The 26,228-nt window shown below is 38.8% G+C and overlaps 1 long non-coding RNA gene across 2 annotated transcripts in view; it reads right to left on the bottom strand.

Moving 5' to 3' along the window:
* Nucleotides 1-236: 236 nt before the first annotated feature.
* Nucleotides 237-26,228, bottom strand: part of LOC105378008 (uncharacterized) — an 81,586-nt gene continuing 55,594 nt past the window's right edge. Inside the window, exons 5-8 of one of the 2 annotated variants that reach the window (XR_001744346.1) lie at nt 21,772-21,861; nt 21,497-21,603; nt 20,532-20,599; nt 237-305 (exon numbers count right to left, since the gene is read on the bottom strand). This is a non-coding gene — a long non-coding RNA (uncharacterized LOC105378008). Of the gene's footprint in view, nt 306-17,320; nt 17,485-20,531; nt 20,600-21,496; nt 21,604-21,771; nt 21,862-26,228 lie in introns of those variants that run through there. The other variant, XR_943001.2, reaches the window with a different exon arrangement.

Here is a 26,228-nt window from a genome sequence, read left to right as displayed (position 1 = left end):
CTATTTGCCTGAGGGTAAAGAATAAGTTAAGGCTTCATTTAAAGACCCAGATTCTAAACCGTTAGCTAAGACACCACCTCTCCACCTTTCTAAATGGTTAACACCACCCATCTCTCATACTCAAAAAAGTTTTCTTCTATGTTTGTATTGAATCGTTCATTCTTAAATTCATTCCTCTTCCTTCCTTCTTCTTTTCCACCTTCTTCTCTCCTTTTCTTCCTTCCTTTCCTTCTAGCTTCCATCCTTCCTCCCCTTGGATTAATATTCATTTACCATATGCCAGTCATTGTGATGAGCTCTGGAAACTAAGAAAAGGATATGATCCATGACTCAAAGAACTGTTCATTTTTAGAGAAGACTGACCTGGTTACCAGCAGGTCCAAACTCTTTAATGTGGTTTATGTGGTCCTCCACTCTCTGATCCCTAACCCATCATCTCTAGCTACTCTCCCTCTTCTCTATACTCCAACCTTACAGGATCCTTTGGGATCACTGAATAAATTCTTCCCAGCTGTGCCATTCCATATGTTCACTTCCAGGACATATGTGATGTCTCTCCCCTACCCTCCTCATTCAGCTGGCACCACACCATCCTTCAGGTCTTAGTCTAGATGCTTATTCTCAGGGAGTTCCCTGAACCAAAAGACCACATTAAGCCTCCCTGTTAATTTGCAAACATTTGCATTATGCCTTTCTATTTCTCTTCACTGGTGAGTTCAATAAGGACAATGATCAGTAACTGACTTATTCACTCTTATATGCCCATTTTCCTAGTTCAGGGCTTGGCACCTAGTAGAGACTCAATAAATGCTTATTGAATGAAACAATCTGTTTAGCATACAGTGGAAACACAAATGAGAAAGTAGTTAATTCTATGTGGGGGGGCAGTCAGTTGGTGTCATCCATGTTTAATTCATATGAAGGCTTAGGATGAATTTTATAAAATCAAATGGATACATAGCATGCCCAATTTCCCATCTTTCTGTTTTGGTAAAAATAAAAACCAATAAATAAGATGAGGTTTTGTTTACACTATGTGCCAATGATTTTACTAATATAGGTATGCAATGCCTTCTCTACAATTCTAAAATCCAAAAGAAAATCTGAAAATAGAAAATTTTTCATAAGTATGGGTAACAAACTTGCTGTTAACTGACATGCTGTTACAGTCTTTATTCTACTTTCTATGAATATTCATGCTTTGCTGCAGAAATATCAATGTTATTGGTCTGTATTTATTCCATTTTGTATGAATGTTTGTTCTGGGCAGAAATGTTTTATTTCATAGCTCCCTCAGGATGTCATATAAATCCAAATTTGAGACATGCCTGGCCTCCAACATTTCTGAGATGGGAATGTGAATGTGAATTGCTATTACCACCTTGCGTTGCATTCAAATTTAGCCCATTGAAATTATCTCTCTTTTTCCAATTTTCTCCCTGATTAAAATGTTTTCCTACTGAGTATAACAGAAGTAAACATTACAGAATTTTAGAAGCTGAAAGCCCTAGTAATAAGGCCACGCATATGGACCGTTGCTGGAACTGAGGTGGCCCAGGGTCTTAAATGAAGGTCTAGAACCAAAAGGTCCTCTTCAGGCTTCATTTTTAAAGTTTATGTGATTAGTGAGGTGGAATGTTCTTGCCCAACTGCCTCATTTTATGGGGAAAGAAAATTGAGTTCCATGCAGGAATAGTGACTTAAAACAACAGCCTGTTTACTGGAAACAAATCATACCTGCTAGGTTCATTTCTTACTTAGGGAGGTAACTCATAGACAATAGAAATTATCCTATGAACAAAATGGATAAAACTTGCCTGGATGCTTTACAATGAAGTGGATTACCAATCAAGTGAAATATCAGCACTTAGCAATAGCACTGTGGAGGGAGGCCAGGGCTCTATTCTTAAGTCTGTCGTTCTTCATATTTTTATCAGTGGATGAAGTGATGAAGGTAGCAAATGAAAATTTTGTAATTTTCAAAAATTTTCATAAATTTTGTAGCAAATTTTCATTTGCTACAAAGCAAGTCAAGTGATACAGAATAAAATATTTTTGGGAAAGGAAAAATATGGCTTACAAAAAAACACAAAACTATCTAGTGGTTTAATTAAATGGTTGGCAAGTTCAACATTCCCCAAAAGGAATTCATGCACCTTCACACAATTAGCACCCCCGAATGAGGGAGATGTAATCCTTCACTGCTTTATTCTGACCAGACATTCCTGGGTCCTGTGCTCCTTTCTGGGAGCCATGCTGTAAGAGAGGCTGAATTCAGAGGACCATAATTAGGAATGGAGACAGTAGTCAAAATTATATTTACTGGATAGCTGAGTAAGGTGGCTCACACCTGTGTAATCCCAGCACTTTGGGAGGCTGAGAAGGAAGGACAGCTTGAACCCAGGAATTTGAGACCAGCCTGGGCAACATAGGGAGACCCCATCTCCACAAAAAAAGTAAAAATCAGCTGGCTGTGGTGGTGCACACATGCAGTCCCAGCTATATAGGAGGCTGAGAGGCTGAGGTAAAAGGATCGGTTGAGCCTGGAAGGTCAAGGCTGCAGTGAGCTGTGATCATGCCACTGCACTCCAGCCTGGGTGACAGACCTCGTCTCAAAAAAAAAAAAAAAAAAAAAAAAAAAGCAAACAAAAAATATTGGAAATTCTTAACCTCAAGGCAGGATTTCAGGAAGCTGTAATCACTGCCTTCACATAAGGGTTTGTCATGTGAGAAAGGGATTAGATTTGTTCCATGGTGTTCCAATTATCAAAACGTCAAAGAGACAGATTTTGGTTCAATACAAGCAAGTTCTCCAAGGAACAGAGCCTTATTGCCTATTTTCATCTCAGAGCTGGTAGCTGAACAGATCACTGGCTAAATGTACAGGAGTTTCAAACTGCAGTAAGTTATGCTTTGAGCAAAGATTTTTAAAGTATGATAGAGAATTGTATCTCAATAAAGCTATTATCAAAAAGAACACAATAGAAGCAAAGAATTTGTCACTTTTATCTTCCTTCTCTTCAAAACGTCATGAATTAGTATAAAGAAATGAAACAAAATTATTACTGAAAAGCAAACAAAGTAAAAACAAGGTAGTCTAAAAATGAAGTGTTAATGTTAGGCTCTCAACTCTCTACCCGCAACATGGAAACTGAAAACATGAACTATTGCTTATATTACTCCACCAGAGATGCACAGAATGATTACTGGCCCTGTTGTTTGCCAACCCGTTTCTACAACACACAAAACCAAAGGCTACAAGAGTGTGAGTCTGATAAACCATTCATCCAAACTCCCTCTACACATAACTCTGAGTTACCTACACTAAATTATATTCAGATTTTGGCAGGCAAACATCTTGGAAACAAAATCGTTTTTAAAAGCACTGATTTTTCCATTAATCTCAAAGCATAAATGGAATTTTTAAAAATGTCAATCGAATGTCCACAGTGGGAACTTAAGAGCAACCCACACGTTTCCTTTAAATATGTATGTAAAAAGGGCTCCACGAATAAATGCATAATTCAAGAAATACAAAGACGGTGAATTTTAAAAAATTTAAAAAAACTGTAGACAAATAAAAGTGACAAATAATCTGCTCTGTTTTGTACAATTTTTAAATGAGACTGAATAAAAAATGCCACTTATTTAACATGCAACAACTATCAAATCAGTTCCAATACTAAGAATGTTGGCGAAGAAGATCATTTCTGCATCTCAGTCAATTTCTTAAAGAAAAACAGAAACTCTACAAAGTTTATTCTACCCTGACATATTTTTAGATTGTGAAAGATGGCTGAGGGAAAAGGCGGCAGCCTTACCGTTATTTGATGAAGGTCATGAATGGTTAGTAATTCTTTGTGGGAAACGTTATGGAAGATCCATTAGAATAAGAACAGATTACCATGTTCCTGTTGCCTCCAGATAGGTCAGCAATAATCTGGCCATATTTCCCGGGAAGAGAAGAAAACAGCCAGGCAGAACCTTCTCTAATGGCAGTGTTTTCAGATGGCCGGAGAAGTCTCTGGGGCTTTCTGGTTGGCTGACGGCTGGGGTATTACAGAGCAGGGTATGCAGCCATGGATCATTACCGATTGGCACACCTATAGAGCGAACTACTGTGGTCCCAGATACTCTATGTTTGCTCAAAGACGTGCTCTGCAGTATTCAGAACTGAGGGAGAGGTAATTTATGGCATAAATCCATGTTTTTTTGGAATCACTAAATTTAAAATTCTCCAAATATATTATGAAAGTTCTGCAGTATGTACTACTAGTTTCCCAAATAAGACTATGTAGATTTTTGTGTTTCTTTGTCTGAATGATATTTTTTCCCTTTTTTCTTTTTTTTTAGTACACTGGGCCAATAATTATAAAAATACACTTATAATTTCTCTCTGTATTAATTATAGAAACAGTGATACTCCAGAAATACATTAGTGAGATATAGTGGTTTGTTTTAAACCATGGAGAATGTAGTGGTTTGTTTTAAAAGCTACATATATTCTAAGAGTTTGTTATTTATTCTGATCATATGTCAGTCCTATTTTGTTGGTATTTTAAAACAAAATCCCTCTAAGAATAGAATGATGGGAGTAGGGTGGGTATGATCTGTTATTTTGTAGCCTGAGGTTAGGCATAGCCAGGAAGTGGCAAATCTAGAATTCAAACTCAGGTAACAACACTACAGAGCCCACATTCTTAGTTAATATGCCCTTTATCTTTTGTACCTCAGTTTCCTCATGTGAAAAATGGAGAGTGATCAAAGGTCTCTCTCCAGGGTGTGAATGTGACATTCACTTATAGATAGTTACTATCTATAAGGTCCTTAGATAGTGCATGATACAATAGTGCAAGCTCTATATCACTGATTGTATTAAAACAACAAACAAATTAGCATTTTATCCAAAGTCACACAACTAGTAAGAGTCAGACCTGGGACCCAAACCCATGCAGTTTAGCTACAGCCTACATCCTTAATGTACATGCACTACTGCCTTGGAATCACACTGATTCACACCATTAAACACAAAATGAGTGTGAAATGCCACTACTAAATTAACTTAGTAGCATACCCAGTTTCAAAAGTATCTGGGATAGAGATAGTCAACCATGGAAATGGGTAGTTGTCTTGTTAGCAACTAAGAGACTAAAATTTTCATCTGGGTGGGAAGGAAAGTACGGAACCAGGTGGACTGTATTCCCCACGGGTCCCAGCACTTGTGCAGCTGTTCTGTGAGGCTAAGAGGCTGAAAATAGAATTGAGCACAATTGCCAACATGGCCTAACCCTGCTTCAGCCCCTGTAGAAAAGAAAATGTTTATAGAAGGAACATTTATTGATGATTTTTTTTAAACGCTAGATTTAGCATTAGTCATTGATTTGCTTCTAAATATTCAGAGTCTTAAGAGGGAGAAGGTTGTTTCTCAAAAGCAGGTACATACACACAAAAATCATTTCAATCATCACTGAGGAGGTTCTATTCATAATAAAAGAGTAGAAAGCATGTTCCTTTAGATGTGAAAGGAAGAAAAGAGGTTTTGAGTTTTTTCCTATTATCTTTTAACTTGGGAAGCAAACTGAAGGAAAAAAAAAGATGGATTTTTTACAGGTTCCTGGTCCCACATCTCTCTATGTTTTGTCTATTACTTGCATTTCATCAGCTCAATGTAAACACCACTGCCCTTGCTCCTGCCAGGTTAGGAAAAACAATTCAGCCTTCCAGGAAATCACCAGGACTTTGAACTTATATCTTGATGAGTGAAAATGTGATGGAAGAATGAATCAGAAGGGCTGAGTGAATGTTTTGGAACCCATTATATATTGTTATTCATACAGTTGATCATACCAGAGAATGATCTTGCCAATTAGCACAGCCCTTGCAAAGCATCCCACATCAGGGAAGCTGGCTAGTTAGCATCCTCTCCTGCAGCCTCAAACCCAAAATATGGCTCAAGTCTTTCATCGCTTGTCGTACTTTTGTAAATAACTCCAACCATATGAAAGGGTTTTCTTTCTTTTGCTGGTAACCATGTTTACTCTATATGTACTGTACAACATAAGTTATGACTTTTTGTTTTGGGTTCCTTTTTTAATTAGTTTTTCTGACCAGGGACCCTCTGTTGTTGAAACAGATGTTGTGGGGCCCAATAATAGCTCTCAGCTGCCAAAAGCAAAATATGAAACTGTGCCCAGACCACGCAGAACAAATGACTGTAACGAGGGGATGGTCGAGTCCAAACAATAGAGCAAGTTGACATTTCATATATATAGCAACTTATGTGTGAGCATACACAGGCTGTACTCTCTTCTCTCTTTTGAGTAACTAGCCTGAAAGACGTGTACAAATGAGCTCCAAGGGTATTCCTTCCCAAAACAAGAACACTGATATGTACGCCTAGGAGCTAAAACTCAGCTAACTCACAAACTGAAACTCGAAGACCTTCCCTCACACTCTCACCCAGTCTATAAAATAGACCCAGACAAAGATAGCTCCATGAAACTAGTTCTGTGTTTTGGAATAACAACCAGCTTTAAAAAAAAAAATCAGTAAACCTAAGATATAAATGCAACATAGGTTCACCAGAGGAGTGTGACGATAAATGTTTTAACAACAGGCTCTCTACGGAGTGGGGGTGGCGGGGGGACAAAAGTTGTGACATGTAGTATTTTCCCATTTTCATGGCGTAAATATTCCCACCATGATCAATTTCAGGCTTTCAATATGACATCACTTAATGCAGAGTTGGGAAGAACCGTGCAGTAGGACACAATGTAATGGCATCAAGAATGTCAGTAATTGAGAAATGTAGTAAAGTAATTAGTAAGTAATGAGGTTGAGCATTTATTGCCTTTGTTTTTAATACAGTTTGCTTCATTGTCAGGTTATATAAATTAATTGTTAATTGACTGTGCTTAACAACAAACTCCCAAGACTCCTGAAAATTAGGCAATTGGCTCTCACAATCCAGTAGAAGCTGACTCTAGCACATAGCAAGATCACCACCACCACCATATAAAAGGTCATTTAATGCTCTTCTATTCTGATTGTAATCCTCAGACCAGCAGCATGGGCATCTCTGTGGAGCTTGTTAGCTCCCTCCTCACACCTCCTGAATCAGAATCTGCCTTTGACAGAATCCCCAGGTTTTTGCTGGGCACATTAACATTTGAGAAACACTGAACTAAAGAACAATGTGAGTGGATACTAAATTAGGGAATTTTGAAAATATATACGCAGTTGACCCTTGAACAACATGAGTTTGGACTGTATGGGTCTAGCTATAGGTTAATTTTTTTCAACTAAACACAGAGGGAAAAATATAGTTTCAGGGGGTGCAAAACCTGCATATGCCAAAAGCTGACATTTCCTATATATATTATATTTTGGCAGGGCAGACTGCAGACTTTGAGTTTTCAAGGATTTAGGTATACACAGAGAATCCTGGAACCAATCTCCTGAGTATACTAAGCGATGACTGTGCTCACTTTTGTACGTGCTAGAAGCAAATGGATTTTTGAAGAAAGCCCCTAATAATCATGATATTTCAAAGCAGCTGCAAAGAACTACTGCAAAATCCATAATGTCCTGACAGTTTTGTTTGGGTGAATTCTGGATAAAAGTCTATTGGTCTCCCTGTGGCTTTGGAGGCAAGGATTCTGCTGTTAAACCCCTTGAGTTAAAAATCCTGGTTTGCTGCCAAATTTAACAGCTGAGGGATAGCGGCAAAATTATTTAACCTCCCAGTACCTCAAATTTCTCATGTGCACAATGAGATGATATTATTAGTACCCATCTTATTGAGTAGTTGTAAGGAGCAATTAAAGTGCTTGCCCCAGTGCCTGGCATATAGTAAGTGCTCATCAAACTTTAGTAATTATTTATATTTCCCACAGGGGAAAAAATTCCAAACCATTTCCTATGTATGAATCCATGTTTAAAAATAGAAAGGTGTGTTTTCCTTGGTATGCTTTCTGAGAATTCTGATTTTGATAGGAAACTTTTATACCATTTTTATTCCCTATGATCGATCATCGAAAGTAACAATTAAAATTACTTCTAAAATATGTCCAAATTTCAGAGCTATTCTTTCCAACTTCAAAAGTCACCTGTAGTAGTCCTAGGAAAAGGTCTTACATTCATAAAAAAGAGACTCAAAGAAGGTATGGCCTCATCTGCTCAATTTTGTCTCAGCTGCATGTGCTGCCTTGAACTCTGTAACTGCAGGAGAGTTCAGGGGGGCAAAGAATAAATTGTAAGAACCTGGACTTTAGTGATGCCACTGAGTTCTGCATTACCAAACCTGGACAACTTGGAGCAGCTCCACGTGGGAGCTTTTGTTATTTGAGATAATAAATAGTCCTTAGTGTTTAAACTGAACTTTGAGTTATCTGAACTCATGCGAATTCCATCGTGTTAAGGTGAGTTTCAAAGTGGCAGAATGACTTGCCCAAATTAGAAGTTCCTAATGGAGCCAGGCTTCACAACACCCATGTGTTTCAAGGTGCATTTTTTCTTTTCCCTTTCTTTCTTCTCCTCTCTCTCATCTCCTCTCCTCTCCCTCCCTTTCTTAATAAACTCACAGTAAATATCACCATTTCAAATTTGTTGAACAGCCAACATGATCCATTTGTATATGCAATATGTCCAGTGGTATGATCGAGGCCAAAAAGTCCCCAGGAAGCTATAGACAGCTAAGCAGGCATTCATTCCAAATTCTGTGATTTGAGTAGACTTGCCCTTGGTAACTATGGGGGAGACAGCAACTGTGGTATAAAATTACACCAACGCAAATCAAAAAATTACTCAGTTATTCAAGAAAAGAGATATATTAAACTGACTGTTTAGTATTAGGAAGGAAAAAACTTATTATTTTTGAATTGATTTGAGTATTTGCAATATTCGGCCAATATTGTTGGTATAACCTAGCCTTTTTTTCCCTGAAATATGCAACCCTGGGATATTTGTTCAACAAGACAAACGAAAGCTACATCAATGAAGTTCTATCCAGGAAAAAAAGAAATTAATTCGAGTGATTTTTAATGCAGGGAACTGTTTCCACAGATGATAAAGAACCTGAGAAACCATGCTGAGGACAGTGAGGAAATCCAGAGATTAGTGACAAAAAGGACGTCCTTGATTTGATAGACAAAGAAGATGCTATTGTAGAAGCCAGGCCACAAGACTATTCAGGAGAAGCTGGAATAATAGCAGGCAAGTCAGATAGGAGCTAGAGCCATGGAGGATATGCAGTCATTGTTGAAGATGCCACCAGAGGCAGAGAGCTGTCCTGAGAATCACCCTGGCTTTTCTCTCCTGCCCTCAGCTATCTCATCATAGCCACCCATTGGTCGAGCCCAGCTGGAAGCCAGCTGATATCTGCACCCGGGAAATGTTGCTTGCAAAAGTATCAGGAGCAACGTCAGGAGCAGAGCACAGCACAGCAAGAGTGAGCAACGGATCTGAGGACCACGGACCCAGGACCCTCCCCTCCCAAGGGCTTTAGGTAACACTTTTTTTTTTTGAGACAGTCTTGCTCTGTCACCCAGACTGGAGTGCAGTGCCGTGATCTCAGCTCACTGCAACTTCTGCCTCCTCGGTTCAAGCAATTCTCCTGCCTCAGCCTCCTGAGTAGCTGGGATTACAGGCGCACACTGCCACGCCTGGCTAATTTTTGTATTTTTTTAGTAGAGACGGGGTTTCACCATGTTGTCCAGACTGTTCTCAAGCTCCTGGCCTCAAGCGATCCGCCCACTTCGATCTCCCAAAGTGCTGGGATTACAGGAGTGAGCCACGGCGCTGGGCCTTAGTAAACATTTTTAAACTCCCTGTAAGAACTTCTTTACTGATTCAATTTGCTATTACACTTCCTGTCAATGCAGTTGAAAATGTTTCAGAGGAACATGTAGGTCAAAGATATTTTTATTCTACCTTATTAGGTTTCCAATCAGAATACTTAAGAATTCATTCATTCTGAAGATGATGGTAACTAACTCTAGTCAGCAAATAACAATTCCATTTAGAAAGAAGATTTAGTGATGAGACTATTTTAATCAGACACCAACCTTCCTTCTGGTGGGTAATTGAGTATTGAACCAGGCTTAAAAACAAAATAAGGGCAGACACGGAGCACAGTTGAAACCATGAACTCATTCTCACATTCTCTCATCAAACCAAAAGGAGTTTTAAGAGAGGAGGAGAAGGAGAAGGAAGAAAAAAATCTGCATGCAAATCAGGAGCATTTTATCTACTATGCAAGTCACAACATGGAAGTTAATATTGAGCTTTGAATTCTCTAATAATTCACATTCTTTCAGCATTTTGCTCTCTGAAAGAAACCTATTTATTTTCCATGGTCTAACTAGATTTCTATTATCTGGGTTGAAACAAGTGGCTATAAACTGTATTTTTATATATTTGAAGACATCATGTACCTTTTCTCTATGATATTTGTCTGAAAGCATAGTAACACATTTTCTGAAGATTGAGAATTTTCATTCCTCCCATTTTTCTCTTGCAGGGTGAGTTTGCTGGCTTATAGTCCCACCTTAAAAAGACAGATTCCAGACTCATTCTCAGTTGCAGACTGAGTGGAGAAAAGTCCAATTTTAATTGAAATTTAAATCCCACAATTAGGCTAGAAGAGCACTTTCTCAATGGATTCTTTGGAAGGTTATCTTTTTCTAAGTTGTATAACTAGGAAATGAAACGGATCATCAAGCAAATTCGTTAGTTTTTTTCATTGCCCATCAAGGAAATGTTTAGTTCATATATCAATTCACTTTTTTTTCCTTTCTTTTCCTTTGGTATTAAGTGATTTTTATCTACAAAACAAGACGACCCAAGGCACTACAAAATGACTTGTAAGTTGATATTAGAAAGTAGGGAAAAGAAGGAATTTTAAACAAGATGAGTGGAGGAGATTGAATACCAATTACTTGAATAAGGCACATACTTTTTACCCTACACAGAAAATCAACAATGTGTGTGTTAAAAAAATATCCCATGTATTTAGTGAGTGTTTGGAAATGAAATGAGAATATTAAACTTTATAAAGTGTTTGGTTGGTTGCATTAGATGGGTACCACTATTTCATGAGATGGATTGATGAAACACCTTTATTGCTGTCAGAACTCAATACAACAGTTCTCATCGAGCAAGAAACACTACAGAAGTATTGTTTGGCAAGAATTTGAAGTCATGTTTCATATCAATAGAAATTATGCCTAAGGGCTTGTGTGTAGATTATGTATTAATTCCAAAAAATGTGTTATAGCTCTACCTGGAGAAGACACTCAAAACCAGGATATTGAAACACTTGAATGTTCACAAGAATATTAGTGTATAGATGATTCCCAAGTAGATTGAGAAGAGAAGTAAGGAACAGGCCTCCTGTAACACTCTGAGCTCTTTTCTAGAACAGCACATAATGTAATGATCTATTGTTTGTCTGTCTCCACTACTAAACCTTCAATCCCTTCAAATTAGGAGTCGTATCTTTTAATCTTTATCCCTAGTGCTGGCATACTCCAAGACACATTGGGAATTTTAATCATGGTTTTGAAATAATAGAATGACAACATAGTATAATGTTTACTTGCATTAAAACCTTTTATAAATGTAATTGAAAAGGAGTAATGTCATGGAATCTAATTCTCAGATTTGATCTGAAACATTGGCCTTATAAGGGAGTGTCTACATTTGTTCTATTTAATGAGGGAGTTTTCCCAGCATTATTGACATTGGCCATGCAAATTAGCACCATGGATAAATATACAAGATTTGATTTTGCTTTGTTCAAGGAAATAATCAAATTTATAAATTGGGGCAAAATCTTTACTTAAATTTCTTATCTTGGTTTATGAAGCAGTAAGATTTGTGACTTGTAATAAGATATTTGGAGCCACATTGTAAGTCATAATAATTGGACAATGCAGATCATTGCCATTTAGAATGTATAAGTAATTCAAACTTTTAAATTGGTACAACATGGAAAAATTAATCTTGCTATAAATTTTTATTCAAAAGATGTAGACTACATTATTCAAATTATAATCCTAAATGCTATTTTCCTATCTTCTTTGATGTTTAGTTTCATAAAGATTTACATGTTACATTTCTTGAAGCCAAAATGTATCATATTGCCTATGCTGTGAAGGGTTTCTCAATGGCTTTTAAAAATGCACAGCATTGAGTGCTCAATGGTGTGGGTATTTATTATGCCCCTGAAGGTCAAATTTACTATTGTTATTTGGTTATTTCAATGCCTAACTTTTCCTAAGCTGAGAAAAATAGGTTGCCCTGTTTAATATGGTCTTATTTCCACTGCTTTCCAGATTTCTGATGTTACAGTTACACAGTGGAAATTCTGTTGTTTTTCCGTGTTTTTTCCCCACTACTATTTTTATTTTTATTTTTTATTGAGGTAAAATATACATGTATAATTTACAACTTTGTTGTTGTTGTTGTTGTTGTTGTTGTTGTTGTTTTTTGAAACAGAGTCTCGCACTGTCACCTAGGCTGGAGTGCAGTGGCACGATCTCGGCTCACTGCAACCTCTGCCTCTTGGGCTCAAGCGATTCTTCTGGCTCAGCCTCCTGAGTAGCTAGGATTACAGGCGCGTGCCACCACACCCAGATATTTTTTTGTATTTTTAGTAGAGAAGAGGTTTCACTATGTTGGCCAGGCTGGTTTTGAACTCCTGACCTCAAGTGATCTGCCCGCCTTGGCCTCCCAAAATGCTGGGATTACAGGCATGAGCCACCGTGCCTGGCTTTACCATTTTTAAGTGTACAGTTCAGTGGTAATAAAATCATTTATATTCTTTTTGCTCCCTGCATGCACCACTGTCTCCTTCCCAGCTTCTGGTAACCACCATTTCACTCTTTATCCTCATAAGTTTTACTTTATTAGCTCCCACATGTGAGTGAGAACATGTGATATTTGTCTTTCTGTGCCTGGCTTATTTTAACATAATGGCCTCCAGTTCCATTCGTGTTGCTGCAAATGACAGGATTCTGTTCTTTTTCTTTATGGCTGGATAATATCTCATTGTATATGTGTACCACATTTTCTGAATCCATTCTTTTGCTGATGGGCACTTAAGCTGATTCCATATTTTGGCAATTATGAATAGTGTTGCAACAAACATGGGAGTGCAGATATCTCTTTGATATATTGATTTCCTTTCTTTTGGATATATAATCAGTAGCGGAATTGCTAGATTATACAGTGCTTCTATTTTTAGTTTTCTGAGGAACCTCCATACTGTTCTCCACAGTGGCTATATTAATTTACATTCTCACCAAGAGTGTACAAGGGTTCCCCTTTCTCCACATCCTTGACAGCATCTGTTATTGCCTGTCATTTTGATGCAAGCCATTTTGACTAGGGTGAGATGATATTCCATTGTGGTTTTGATTTGCATTTCTCTGGTGATTAGCGATGTTGAGCATTTTTTTCATATACCTTTGGCCATTTGTATGTCTTCTTCAGAGAAAGGTCTGTTCAGATCTTTTGCCCGTTTTCTAATCAGATTATTTGTGAGGGTTTTTGTTTTGTTTTGTTGAGACAAAGTCTTGCTCTGTTGCCCAGGCTGGAGTGCAGTGATGTAATCTCGGCTCACTGCAACCTCTGCTTTCTGGGTTCAAGCAATTCTCCTGTCTCAGCCTCCTGAGTAGCTGAGATTACAGGTGCCTGCCACCATGCCTGGCTAATTTTTGTATTTTTGGTAGAGAAGGGGTTTCACCATGTTGGCCAGGCTGGTCTTGAACTCCTGACCTCGAGTGATCCATCGGCCTCCAAAAGTGCTGGGATTACAGGTGTGAGCCATTGCGCCCAGACTATTTGTGGGTTTTTTGTTTGTTTGTTTGTTTGTTTGTTTTGCAGTTGAGTTATTTGAGCTCCTTATATAGTCTGGTTAATAATCCCTTGTCAGATGGGTAGTTTGCAAATATTTTCTCCTATTCAGTAGATGTGTGTTCATTTAGTTGATTATTTCCTTTGCTGTGCGTACTACCAGCTTTTAAAATTGTTAAATCAATAGTCATAGGAAGTAAATACAATAGTCACTACATGATAGTTTTAATTGCCAAGTGTATGGAGAGTTGATCATTTCTTCCTGCTTGCCTTCTAGACAGCCATTGTAAGGGCATTGGCCTTGATCCTAGCCCCTGGTTGAGAGCTGGCCTGGGTGACTTGGGTATCATGATACTCTAATCTGCCTCAGGTAATTGTATGAACTGAGCACCTGAGCCAAGGATAATTAAGTCATATGCCTTCCAATAACATTTGATGTGGCCTAGATTGAAGGGAAAAAATGATGGCTATGATCATTCAGATTTCTTTTCTCAGTGATTTTAAGTAAGAAGAAATTCCCAGAGAGCAGTTAAGTCCATGAGCCAGTTAACATAAATTCTGAAATGGCACCAGGATGCTGTGGATCATGACCAGCCAAAGCCATGTGTAAGCCAAAGTAACGTTAGGGCAAAATATGTGAGCCATAAAAAAGAGGACAGAGTGGTTGCCCAGCAGGAGCAGAGATGGCCCAAGACTGCACAGCCTGAAGGAAGCCTGGGCAGTACTGGTCTCAGCATTGCCTCCTTTCCATTTCCACTTCATTAGTTCCAGCCCATGCATGAATGTCTTTCCAGCAGTTTCCCACAAGGAAAATAGCTTTCTTACTCTTCCAATGGTAAACATAAGACATCAAAAAACAAACAAACACAAAATTTAAATACAATAAATAATTTTTTTAAATAAAAACCACTGTAATGCTGTGATTGTTTTATTGACTAGCCATCTGGGCTTTTCTTTAGATATATTTTGGTATTCACATATGATTTTTCACAGCTGGTTTGTAGCTTGCATTTTTGACTCAAATGTCACGAACATATTTCCATGCTCATAAATATAGCTTTGCAGCATTATTTCTAATAGTTCATAGTATTCCACTGTATCCATATACTATAATGTCTAACAGAAATGTCTTCATGATAGACATTTATGTTTTTTCCAATTTTCCTCTACAATAAATAACGCTGAAATAAATCTATTTGAGTATTTTATATATATATATCTTATAGATTTATTTTTGTCTATTTTTATAATTTAAAATTTTCAAAGTGGAATTATTATTAAGGTGCCCACTCTTTTTTATTGTTGATTCAATGATATGATTAGCAATTTACATTATGAGCTATTCACTTTCCTAAACCATTGTTAACACAAAGCATTAATCTTTTCCAGTCAGAGAGGTGAAAATTGCTATCTCTCTTTTTAAATTTGCCTTCCTTGAATCATTACAATGTTTTTTGACTATTTGTGTTTCTCCTCTTGTGAGGTTATTGTTCATAAACTTTAACCACTTTGCTACTAGAGTGTTACTTTCTTATTGATTTAAAGGGTTCTGTATATATTAAGATCATTAATATTTTGTTTAGCATATATGTTGTGAATATTTTCTTAGTATGCTAGTTGGCTTTTAAATGGTTTAAAATATATTTTGCATTCAAAAGTTTAAGACATTTCATAGTCAAAATTTATCAACCTTTTATGATTCCTGGTCTTCTTGTCATACTGAGAGCAACCTTCCCAAGAATATAAAAATATCCATGCTAATTTTCTTTGAGGATATTTATGGATTCATTTTTTATATTTATATATTTGATCCCTTCTGGAATTTATCTTTGTATGATTGAACTAAATATTCAGTTTAATTTTCCCACAATTTTATAGAGTTAGCCCTGCACCACTTCTTGAATAATGTATTGTTTTTCCACTGGCTGATTTAAAATGCTACTTTTATCATGTACTAAATTCCATGATATACTGGAGAGACTGTGCAGCATAGTAGCAAAGCAGTTTGACACTAGAATTAGAAAGGTTTATGTTCACACCGACTAACTGTGTAACTTTGGGTGAGATACTAAATTTGTCTAAGCCTCAGTTTCTTTGTCTAAAATGTGGGAATAATAACGCCTCATAGGACTGTGTGAGGAATAAGTGATAAAAGATATGCAGAACACCCAGCCCAGAATCGGGCATTATGAAAATTTCAGTAAAATTAGTTACTAGCTGTACCTGAGCTTATCTCTCTCCGTAGTCTAGGCTGGAGGGCAGTGGTGTGTGTGATCATAGCTCTCTACAGCCTCCACCTGCTGACCTCAAGCAATCCTACTGCCTCAGCTTCCCTAAGTGCTGGGATTACAGGTGTGAGTCATCGCACCCAGCTTGATTATTCTCTTTTTTTTTTGAAACGGAGTCTGGCTCTGTCGCCCAGGCTGGAGTGCAGTGGCGCGATCTCGGCTCACTGCAAGCTCCGCCTCCCAGGTTCACGCCAGTCTCCTGCCTCAGCCTCCCGAGCAGCTGGGACTACAGGGGCCCGCCGCCACGCCGGTCTAATTTTTTGTATTTTTAGTAGAGACGAGGTTTCACCATGTTAGCCAGGATGGTCTCGATGTCCTGACCTCATGATCTGCCCGCCTCGGCCTCCCAAAGTGCTGGGATTACAGGCGTGAGCCACCGCCCCCGGCCGATTATTCTTTAGAAAACTCTTCCCTTGAAGTAATTTGAGTGGCCTAGTTAAAACAATAACAATTACTTTAAGCATATACAAATTTGGTATAATATCTACTTCTTAGAGTTATGGTGAGAGTTGAATTCTAATATAAATAAATTGCCTAATAGAATATCTGAAATATGGAAGATATTCAATAATTGGCAATATTTTGATTGTTATGATCTCAATTTATTATCTATCATGGTATTCAGGTAAATTATTACCATAATAACTTCATGTTCTAAAAAGTGGCAAGCAGAATTCTGCATTGTTACTAATTACTGTACAAAGGATGAATTCCAATAGTAAACTTAAACTTAACTACACACAAAAAATCTTGAAGATCATTTTATTAGTCCATTTGCCTGCCTATAAAGGAATACCTCAGACTGTATAATTTATAAAGAAAAGAAGTTTATTTTGGTTCACAGTTCTGCAGGCTGTACAGGAAGCATGGTGCTAGCATCTGCTTCTGGTAAGGGCCTAAGGAAGCTTCCAGTCATGGCAGAAGGCCAAGGGTGTGCAGACCTATCACGTGGTGAGAAAGGGAACGAGAGAGAGAGGGGAGAGATGCCACACTCTTTTTAAACAACCAGACCTCATGTAAACTCATTGCCACTTATTATTGTGGGGTAGGCACCAAGCCATTCATGAGAGATCTGCCCCCATGACCCTAACACCTCCCACCAGGCTTCACTTCCAACATTGGGGATCACATTTCAACATGAGATTTGGAGAAGACAAACATCCGAAGTATATCATTCTGCCTCTGGTCCCCCAAATCTCATGTCCTTCTCGCAATGCAAAATACAATCATCCCTTCCTAATAGTCTTCCTCAAAGTCTTAATTGGTTCCAGTGTGAACTCAAAGTCCAAAGCCGCAAGTCTTATCTGAGACTCAAGACATGTTTCTTCCACCTATAAGCCTGGAAAATAAAAAATAAGTCATTTACTTCCAAGATACAAAGGTGGTACAAGCATTGCATAAACATTCTTGTTGCAAAAGGGAGAAACAGGCCAAAAGAAAGAGATCACAGGGCCCACACAAGTCTGAAACTCAGCAGGGCAGACGTTAGACCTTGAAGCTCCAAAGTAATCTCCTTTGACTATACATGTCCGACATCCAGGACACAATGGTGCAAGAGGTGAGCTTCCAAGGCCTTGGGCAGCTCTGCTCTTGATTCTTTGCAGGGCACAGCCCTCATAACTGTTCTCATGGGTTGGAGTTGAGTGCCTGTGGCTTTTCTAGGCTCAGGGTACAAGCTGCTGGTTGCTCTACAATTCTTGGGTCTGGAGGATGGCAGCCCCATTCCCATAGATCCACTAGAACATGCCCTGGTGAGGACTCTGAGTCAGGGTTCCAACCCTACATTTCTTCTCAGCACTTCCCTCATAGAGGCTCTCTGCATGGGATCTATCCCTGAAGCAGGCTTCTGTCTGAACATCTGTGCTTTCCCATATATCCTCTGAAATCTTGGTGGAAGCTGCCAAGCCTTCTTCATTCTTGCATTCTGTATACCAGCAAGCTTAACACCATATGGAAGCTGCCATGGTTTATGGTTTGCACTCTCTGAAGTGGCTGCCTGAGCTGCATCTGAGGCCCTTTGAGCCAAGACTGGAGCCAGAGAGGCCAAGATTGGGGGAGCGGTGTCCAGAGACTGAGCACAGCAGCAGGGTCCTGGGCCTGGCCCCTGAAACCATTCTTTCCTCCTTGACCTCTGGGTCTGGGATGGAAGGGGCTGTCTCCAAGCCTTCTGAGATGCCTTCAAGGCCCTTTTCCCATTGTTTTGGATGTTAGCAATTTTAGTTATGTTAATCTCTCTAGAAAGTGGTTCCTCCATAGCCCTCTTAGATTCTTTCCCTGATAATGGTCTTTCCTTCTCTGCCACAAGGCCAGTTTTTGACTTTTCCAAGTTTTTTACACTTTACTTTCCTTTTAAATATAAGTTCCAACTTTGTCATTTCTTTGCTACTATATCTGATTCTACGTTGTTAGAAGCAGCCATGCTGTTTCTTGAATGCTTTGCTGCTTAGAAATTTCTTCTGCCAGATATCCTAGGTCATCACTCTAAAGTTTAACCTTACACAAAGCCCTATGGCATGGACACAAGGCAGTCAAGCTCTTTGCTAGAGCATAACAAGGGTGACCTTTGCTCCAGTTCCCAATATATTTCTCATTTCTATCTGAGACTTCATCAGCCTGGCCTTTACTGTCCATATCACTATCAGCATTTCAATCACAGCCATTCAATCAGTCTCTCAAAAGTTCCAAACTTTTCCCTTTTTTCCTGTCTTCTTCTGAACCTTCCAAACTCTTTCAACCTCTGCCCATTACCTAGTTCCAAAGCTGCTTCCACATCTTCAAGTATCTTTATAGCAACATCTCCTCCTTGGTATCGATTTTCTGTATTAGTTCATTCTGCATTGCTATAAAGGAATACCTAAGACTGGGTAATTTATAAAGAAAAGAGGTTTATTTTGGCTCATGGTTCTGCAGATTGTATGAGAAGTATGGCACTGGCATCTTCTCCTGGTGACAGTCTAAGGAGGCTTCCAGTTATGGTGAAAAGTGAAGGTGAGGCAGGCATATTACATGGTGAGAGAGGGAGCAGGAAAGAGAGGGGAGAGGTGCCACACTGTTTTTAAACAACCAGATCTCACATGAACTCACTACCACTAATTACTGCAGGCAGGGCACAAACCATTCATGAGGGATCTGCTCCCATGACCCAAACACCTCCCACCAGGCCCCACTTCCAACAATGCAGATCACATTTCAACATGAGATTTGGAGGGAACAGACATCCAAACTATATAAATCATGCTACTAGAGATGCAGGTTTAGTACCACAGTTAGTGCATTGGAACACGTTGCTGGAGTAGGCAAAAGATGAGGAGGAGAGTGGACATTTCAACTTTCATTACTTCACTGGCCCAAGATAAAATTGAAACTTAGTGCTAAAATTACAAAGATCTAGGTGGTACTTTTACAGACCTTTATCCAAAGATATGTACACAAGGATGTAGATGGAGGGAAGCTGTGCAGAGCATTTGTTATGTTTTATGATACTATGTCTAAAGGGGTAAATAAGAGTTTGCATATGGCGAGGCATGGTGGCTCACTCCTGTAATCCCAGCACTTTGGGAGGTCGAGGCGGGCAGATCACGAGATCAGGAGATCGAGATCATCCTGGCTAACATGGTGAAACCCCGTCTCTACTAAAAATACAAAAACAAAATTAGCCGGGTGTGGTGGTGGGCACCTGTAGCCCCTGCCACTTGGGAGGCTGAGACAGGAGAATGGCATGAACCCAGGAGGCAGAGCTTGCAGTGAGCCGAGATTGTACCACGGCACTCCAGTCTGGGTAACAGAGCGAGACTCCGTCTCAAAAAAAAAAAGAGTTTGCATACTTTTTAAGGTTGCTGCTGGACTCCAAATTAAAATTTGAGAAAACTAATCAATGGGCCATTTTTCTGAGAGTAAACAGATCTCTGGGCCCAATAATGAATATAGTATTTTTTTCATTCATTCATTCACTCACTAATACATTCAACAACCAGGGTCTCCTCTCACAAATTATTTTCTATCATTAGGAAAAAAGAAAATTCTACTGTCCTCCTTTACCTCTGATAGAGGAGAAAGGAAATAATTTCAGAACTCTAGTCAAGATAAATATAAATTTGTATTATTATTTTTAATGAGTCTTCCAGGGGAGGGGAGTTTCTCATCCAAACCTCCCACACAAAATACCTGAAGTACAGTATCTTCTCACTACAAGCATAAATCTACTAGTTAAAGGGGAAAAATGCATAAATAAGAAAAAAATGCCAAATTATTTTTGTTTGGTAATTTCCTATTTTAGCAAAAGCATTATAACCAATTGGTGTCTGATTTTAAGAGTTTAAAATGCCTATGATACACTGCATAATATGCCATCTGGGTAATTCTGAATGTTAAAAGCAGTCACCTTACCTTTCGGTTCTGAGGTTATGTTCATGAAGAGAACTGCAGTTGGTATCACATTGCACAAGCTCCCGGAGCTTGGGGGAGAATAATGACATGAATCAATAATGCTGTCTGGGAAATGGCTTAGAATAAAATATTACAGAAGGGCACGAACATCACCCAGGGGGAGACTTTGGTGCTGATTAAATATGGCTGCCTCAGCTCTCGTCCATGCAGTGACAGATGAGGAAGGAGTGCTTACTTTGGCTTTTGCTACATTTTTCTGAGCTAAGGTTACTCAGGTAGCATGAAAACAGGGTGGTGCATGCCAGCTTATTTAGCTTTGCTGCACTTGGACGCCCCCTGAAGGTCAAAATTGCACACATAGGAAAAGAATTTCTTCAGCACTTTCAACTGAAGCCATTACTTACAATCAGTTTCCAACTCTCTATTCTTTTCAAGGCATCTTTGTAAAAAGTAGTTAATAAACAAAATAAAGCATTCACACCTAGACTTCTTCTTTTCACCCCACACCCCAAAGGAAACAAAAAAGATAGTTCATTTGTTTAAGTTAACAAAATAAATTGTGTATGAAGAATTAACAAAATACTCCAAAAGAAATTCGGATTTTAAAACAATCTAGATAAATGTCAACTTTGAATCATATTTGAATGCATGAAAAAAGAAATAAACAAACAAATTTGCACTGCCAGGGCCAAGAAATCGTTCTTTCTTATTTTCTCCATGTGTGAACTGCTAAGTTTTGAAAACATATCATGCCACAAAAAAGAAATACAATGTTCTCCATTCCATCCAACTCTACTATGAACTTATCATAGTGCTAAACTCAAAAATTCAATACGTTTATCCTACAATAAAGTTTATTTTGGCCTTTCACAGAGGCAAAACAAACAAAATTTATTTTGTCCCTGAGAGTAAAAAATGTGGGTGGCAGAGACATTAGCCATTAGTAGTACAGACACTGAACTTACTCCGTGTGTAAATGCCTGTGTCCCTGGGTACTCTGTGATTGGAGAGACAGGTCCAGGAATGCTTGCTGCCAACTCAGCTCTGTTATAAATTTGATTGAAACCATTAGCTAGAATATAATGAATTCCATGTGTCAGTCTTATTTGGCATTTTTTTAAGATAAGATTTTTAGAACACATAATTGTGATAAATCTATTCCAGATAATTTATGTTTTTCTCTTTTTAACTAGGATTTTTTTCCCACATACGTATTTTAAACAGTCAAATATGTACTTACATATTAACTGTCGGTTATGACTCTGCTCTATAAATTTACACTTCAAACCACATTTTCCAGTATCTTTCTCCTTGGGAATGATTGAAGCATCTAGGAAAACAGATAACTTTTTTAGGCCACTGATACCTAAAACCTTTTTATTGAAAACTAGACTTACTTGAAACTTTTTCTCAAATGTATTCCCTGAATTTTTTTTTTTTTTTTTTTTTTTTTTTTTTGCGCTGTCACCCAGGCTGGAGTACGGTGGCACAATCTGGGCCCACTGCAACTTCCACCTCCCGGGTTCAAGCGATTCTCTTACCTCAACCTCCCAAGTAGCTGGGATTATAGATGTGCACCACCATGCCTGGCTAATTTTTGTATTTCTAGTAGAGATGGGGTTTCACCATGTTGGCCAGGCTGGTCTCAAACTCTTGACCTCAAGTGATCTGCCCACCTCAGCCTCCCAAAGTGCTGGGGTTACAGGCATAAGCCACTGCACCTGGCCTGAAATTTTTAAATAATTGAACAGAAAGTATTTTGTGCAATCTAAATCCTGAAAACTCAAGCATAATAAGTGTGTATTTCAACATTTTATGTTCTAAAACCTTTATTTTAAAGCAATGACCAGTATTCAAAAGTTTGTTTCAGCCAGTACCATATATGAAAACTGAAGAAGAATCTACTATAACTTGTAAACACTAAAGTATCCTAAATCTAAATTAAATCGGCCACTCCCTAATGTTTCTAATTCAGATAGGTAAAGATACTAAATCACATCTTTTCTTTTTTTTTTTTTTTTTTTTTTGAGACAGAGTCTCACTCTGTCACCTGGGCTGGAGTGCAGTGGCATGATCTTGCCTCACTGCAACCTCCACCACCAAGGTTCAAGTGGTTCTCCTGCCTCAGCCTCCTGGGTAGCTGAGATTACAGGGGCCCACCACTATGCCCAGCTAATTTTTTGTGTTTTTAGTAGAGATGGGGTTCCACCATGTTGTTCAGGCTGGTCTCAAACTCCTGACCTGGTGATTCACCCACCTCGGCCTCACAAAGTGCTGAGATTACAGGTGTGAGCCACCATGCCCAGTCTAAATCACATCTTTTAACAGAAGATTTCATCCAAGCGTATGGACATGGTCTTTTAAAATATGTATACGCATATGTATACCAATAAAAGGAAATACAGACCTCTCCTGCACAACTTCCATAATACATTCTTGAGAAACAGACATTCTTTGAGAAAACATTAACTGAAAGTCAATTTCCCATTATTTGTAGTGGAAAAAGTTAAAATGTGCTATATACTAACCCCAAATCACCAACCAAATTATTAAAACACAATAAGACTCCTCTATATAAGTAACAAGACTCCTCTATGTAAGTAACAAACTAGTAAATCAGAATATAAACTGCTTAAAACATCAATTTTTAATTACTGAAGAATTAATATTGCAGTCAACACATGCAGTTGCTTTGTGTGGAGTACCATGGCCTTAACACCAGCAGCCTTTTACATGCCATTCTGTTACCAACGATATTTGGAATATAATATGAGTTTTTCCCATAGACCAATGAGTTTGGGGGAATATTTTTTTTTCCTTTACAAACATCAGCTAAATAATGTTGTTCTGAGGAGATATGCATGTTTAGTGATTGAAAAACAGAGGTCTTTTAGGAAAAATGATCACCAGGGAGACCTCTGACAGAGTGTGCCTATGTGCCATTGTCACTCAGTAATGCAATCAGCTGCCTCAGGAGGAACTCTTTTCTCTCTTCCTGGAGAGCAGCAAGCCCAAAATGAATGAGTCCACGATTGCAACAGCACCCAGCCACTGTCATCAGTCTTCATTTCCCGGAGTAGTAGTAACACACTGCTACAACCTTGGTGGCTGAAAACAACAGAACTTTATTCTCTTACAGTTCTGGAAACCAGAAGTCCTAAATCAAGGTGTCAGCAGGGTGGTTCCTTCTGAAGCTGGGAGGGAGAACTTGATCCATGCCTGTCTCCTGGCTTCTTGTGGTTGCCCACAACCCTTGGCATTCCTCGGCTTCGGAACACACTCCTCCAATCTCTGTCTCTGACTTCACATTCCCTTCTTCCCTGTCTTCTCCCCTCTCTTCTTTAAAGAGGACACTGTCCTTGGATTTAGAGCCCATCCTAATCCATGATGAGCTCACCCTGGATTCCTTAATTTAACTACATCTGCAAAGACCCTTTTTCCAAATAAGCTTGCAGTCACAGGTTCTGGGTGGACAGACCTTTGGAAGGGAGAGGGACACATTTCACCCACCCCACCGTTCAAGGTTGAGTTTGTCTGATGTCACCTCTACTAGAAACCAGACCTGCAGGGGCAAGGCCGTCATTTGCCACAATTCTCCTTCCTCTACTTCAGCTACTTTAGCTCCTACCTCTGTCATAATTATCATTAGCTGAGTTTCTTTTTAAAGGAGAGACCTAAACTTCACTTACATCTTTACAAGAGATAATCTGATATAACTAATTCGCAGGATTTCTTTAAACTACCACAGTCTATACACCTAAAAATTAGCTGAAAGGGCCAGGGGCCCGAGGGTCTGGTATGAGTGACCTGTGTCAGGCACCATGCAGGGGTCTCTGTGGAAACATGTCAAGAATTCTTGTGGTTTTTCTGATTTCCTTGCCTAAAAACTGCTTCTAATTCACCTCCATTAAAGTGGTTAAATAGAAATCATTCTGACTGAGAAATGGTGTGTGGAAAAAAACAAACAAACAAGGAGTGATCCAAAGAAATGGCATCTTTGATGGGACTGCAGATTTTATCACTTGCAACTAAGATGACAATTAGAGTACTTGTAGCCCACCAAGAAAATGAGCTAACAGGCTTGACCCAGTTTTTATTCATGTGTAAAGTAAAATTAGTTCATGGTTTTTACAGATGTGGATGAAAAGTTTATACATTTTCACAAGCACATACATTTATGTATATACTACCTGTGTATAATTTATAAACAAATATTCACTGATGTCGCTGTCAAAGCATTTTGTTCTTATAAACCGATTTTCCCTTTCTGAGATTCCCCTGCCCCCGCTTTTCTCTTTTTCCTCTTTTTTATTTTTTTTAAATAAAGTTTTCTTTCAAGTCCTCTACTGTTACAGTGTTTCGGCCATCAAAGTCCTCTTCTAGCCATTTTCATTTACCTTGTGACTCTGACCCTTTGTGAAGCTGAGCATTTTCGGAGTAAACTGATCCCGTGGGTCCCCAAGGATGTTATTCTCATTTATTCACTCAGCCCTTTGAATGGAGCAGCCTTCACTTGGCAGGCGTTCAGCAGACCAAGATTCAAAGAGCACACAATCCTTTTTCTTCCAGGGCCCTTTCAAAACACGGCCCAAGGTTTGTCGAGGGGCTTTAATGGATGTCAGTCATTTAGCATGTTACATTTTATTCATGGCTGCCAGTGAACGTGGTGAGTAGAGAAGGAACAAAAGAAAACAGACAGACAATAGGGGAAAGGGATAATTTTCTGAGCCTTTTGTGACGTGACATCATAGAGGGCATTTTTGAGCTGCCATTACTCATGATGGGGGAGTTAAAATAGACGAGTTAATGTGCTTGTATTTAAAGCCCCACCGAAGCCTCCTAAACAACTTCAGAGCCAAGGTTTCAGGAAATCAGGGATCAATTTGAAACGTAGATGCTCTGGATCTGAGACAGCTGCGGTGTGGGGCGGCCCTATTTTTTCTCCCCAGGTGGGGTGATGGAGGGACGGAGTCCCTCTTGTGCCCTCTGCGTGGTCACCTCTGACAGCTGCCTCTCGTTTTCTGAACTTCAGGATGTTTGGAGGCAGTCTCTGGGGACCAGCAGTAAGACACGGAAGCTCAATGACAGTCCCAGCGGGCAGAGAAACGGGGACAGAGGCAAAGGCTTAGGGCTGCGCACCTCTGTACCTGCCAACTGGTGTGTCATAGTTGGGCTAAAATTACTGGCTGGTCAGTTATCTGATTAAAGAAAGCCTTTCATTTGAGGCTTTAAAAAAAAAATCCAGACTGAAATTTAAACCTTCTAGTAACTTACCAAAACTTTTTTTTTTTTAACTTGGGCATAATCAACCTCTGGGGGGGAAATGATAAAAAGGTACAGAGAGAAACACTTTGTTACTGGCTACAGGACATACATTGTTCTGAGATTCTTTTTCTTTTTTTTTTTTTGTTTTTGGTCCAAAAGCAATGTTATGTACGTGAAACTAACTGTTGGCATCAGATTTAATCTTACTTATCTTCACACACACATACACACACACGCACACATGCACGCACACACACACACACAGCTACCAGGCCAACTGTATTTTTAAATTAGTAGAATCAATTGATTAAATAAGGTACCAGTGTTCCCCAAAAGCAATTCATTTTTTATTAGTTTTACAATTGCATTGAAATCCCTTTAAATTATAGAGTTCATGAATTATGCCTCTGTCAGGCAGCATCAGAACTACAT

Source organism: Homo sapiens, chromosome 6, assembly GCF_000001405.40.
Source record: "Homo sapiens chromosome 6, GRCh38.p14 Primary Assembly".
NCBI lineage: Eukaryota > Metazoa > Chordata > Mammalia > Primates > Hominidae > Homo > Homo sapiens.
The sequence above is the reverse complement of the archived record's forward strand: the minus strand, read 5'-3'. Positions and strand labels throughout refer to the sequence as shown.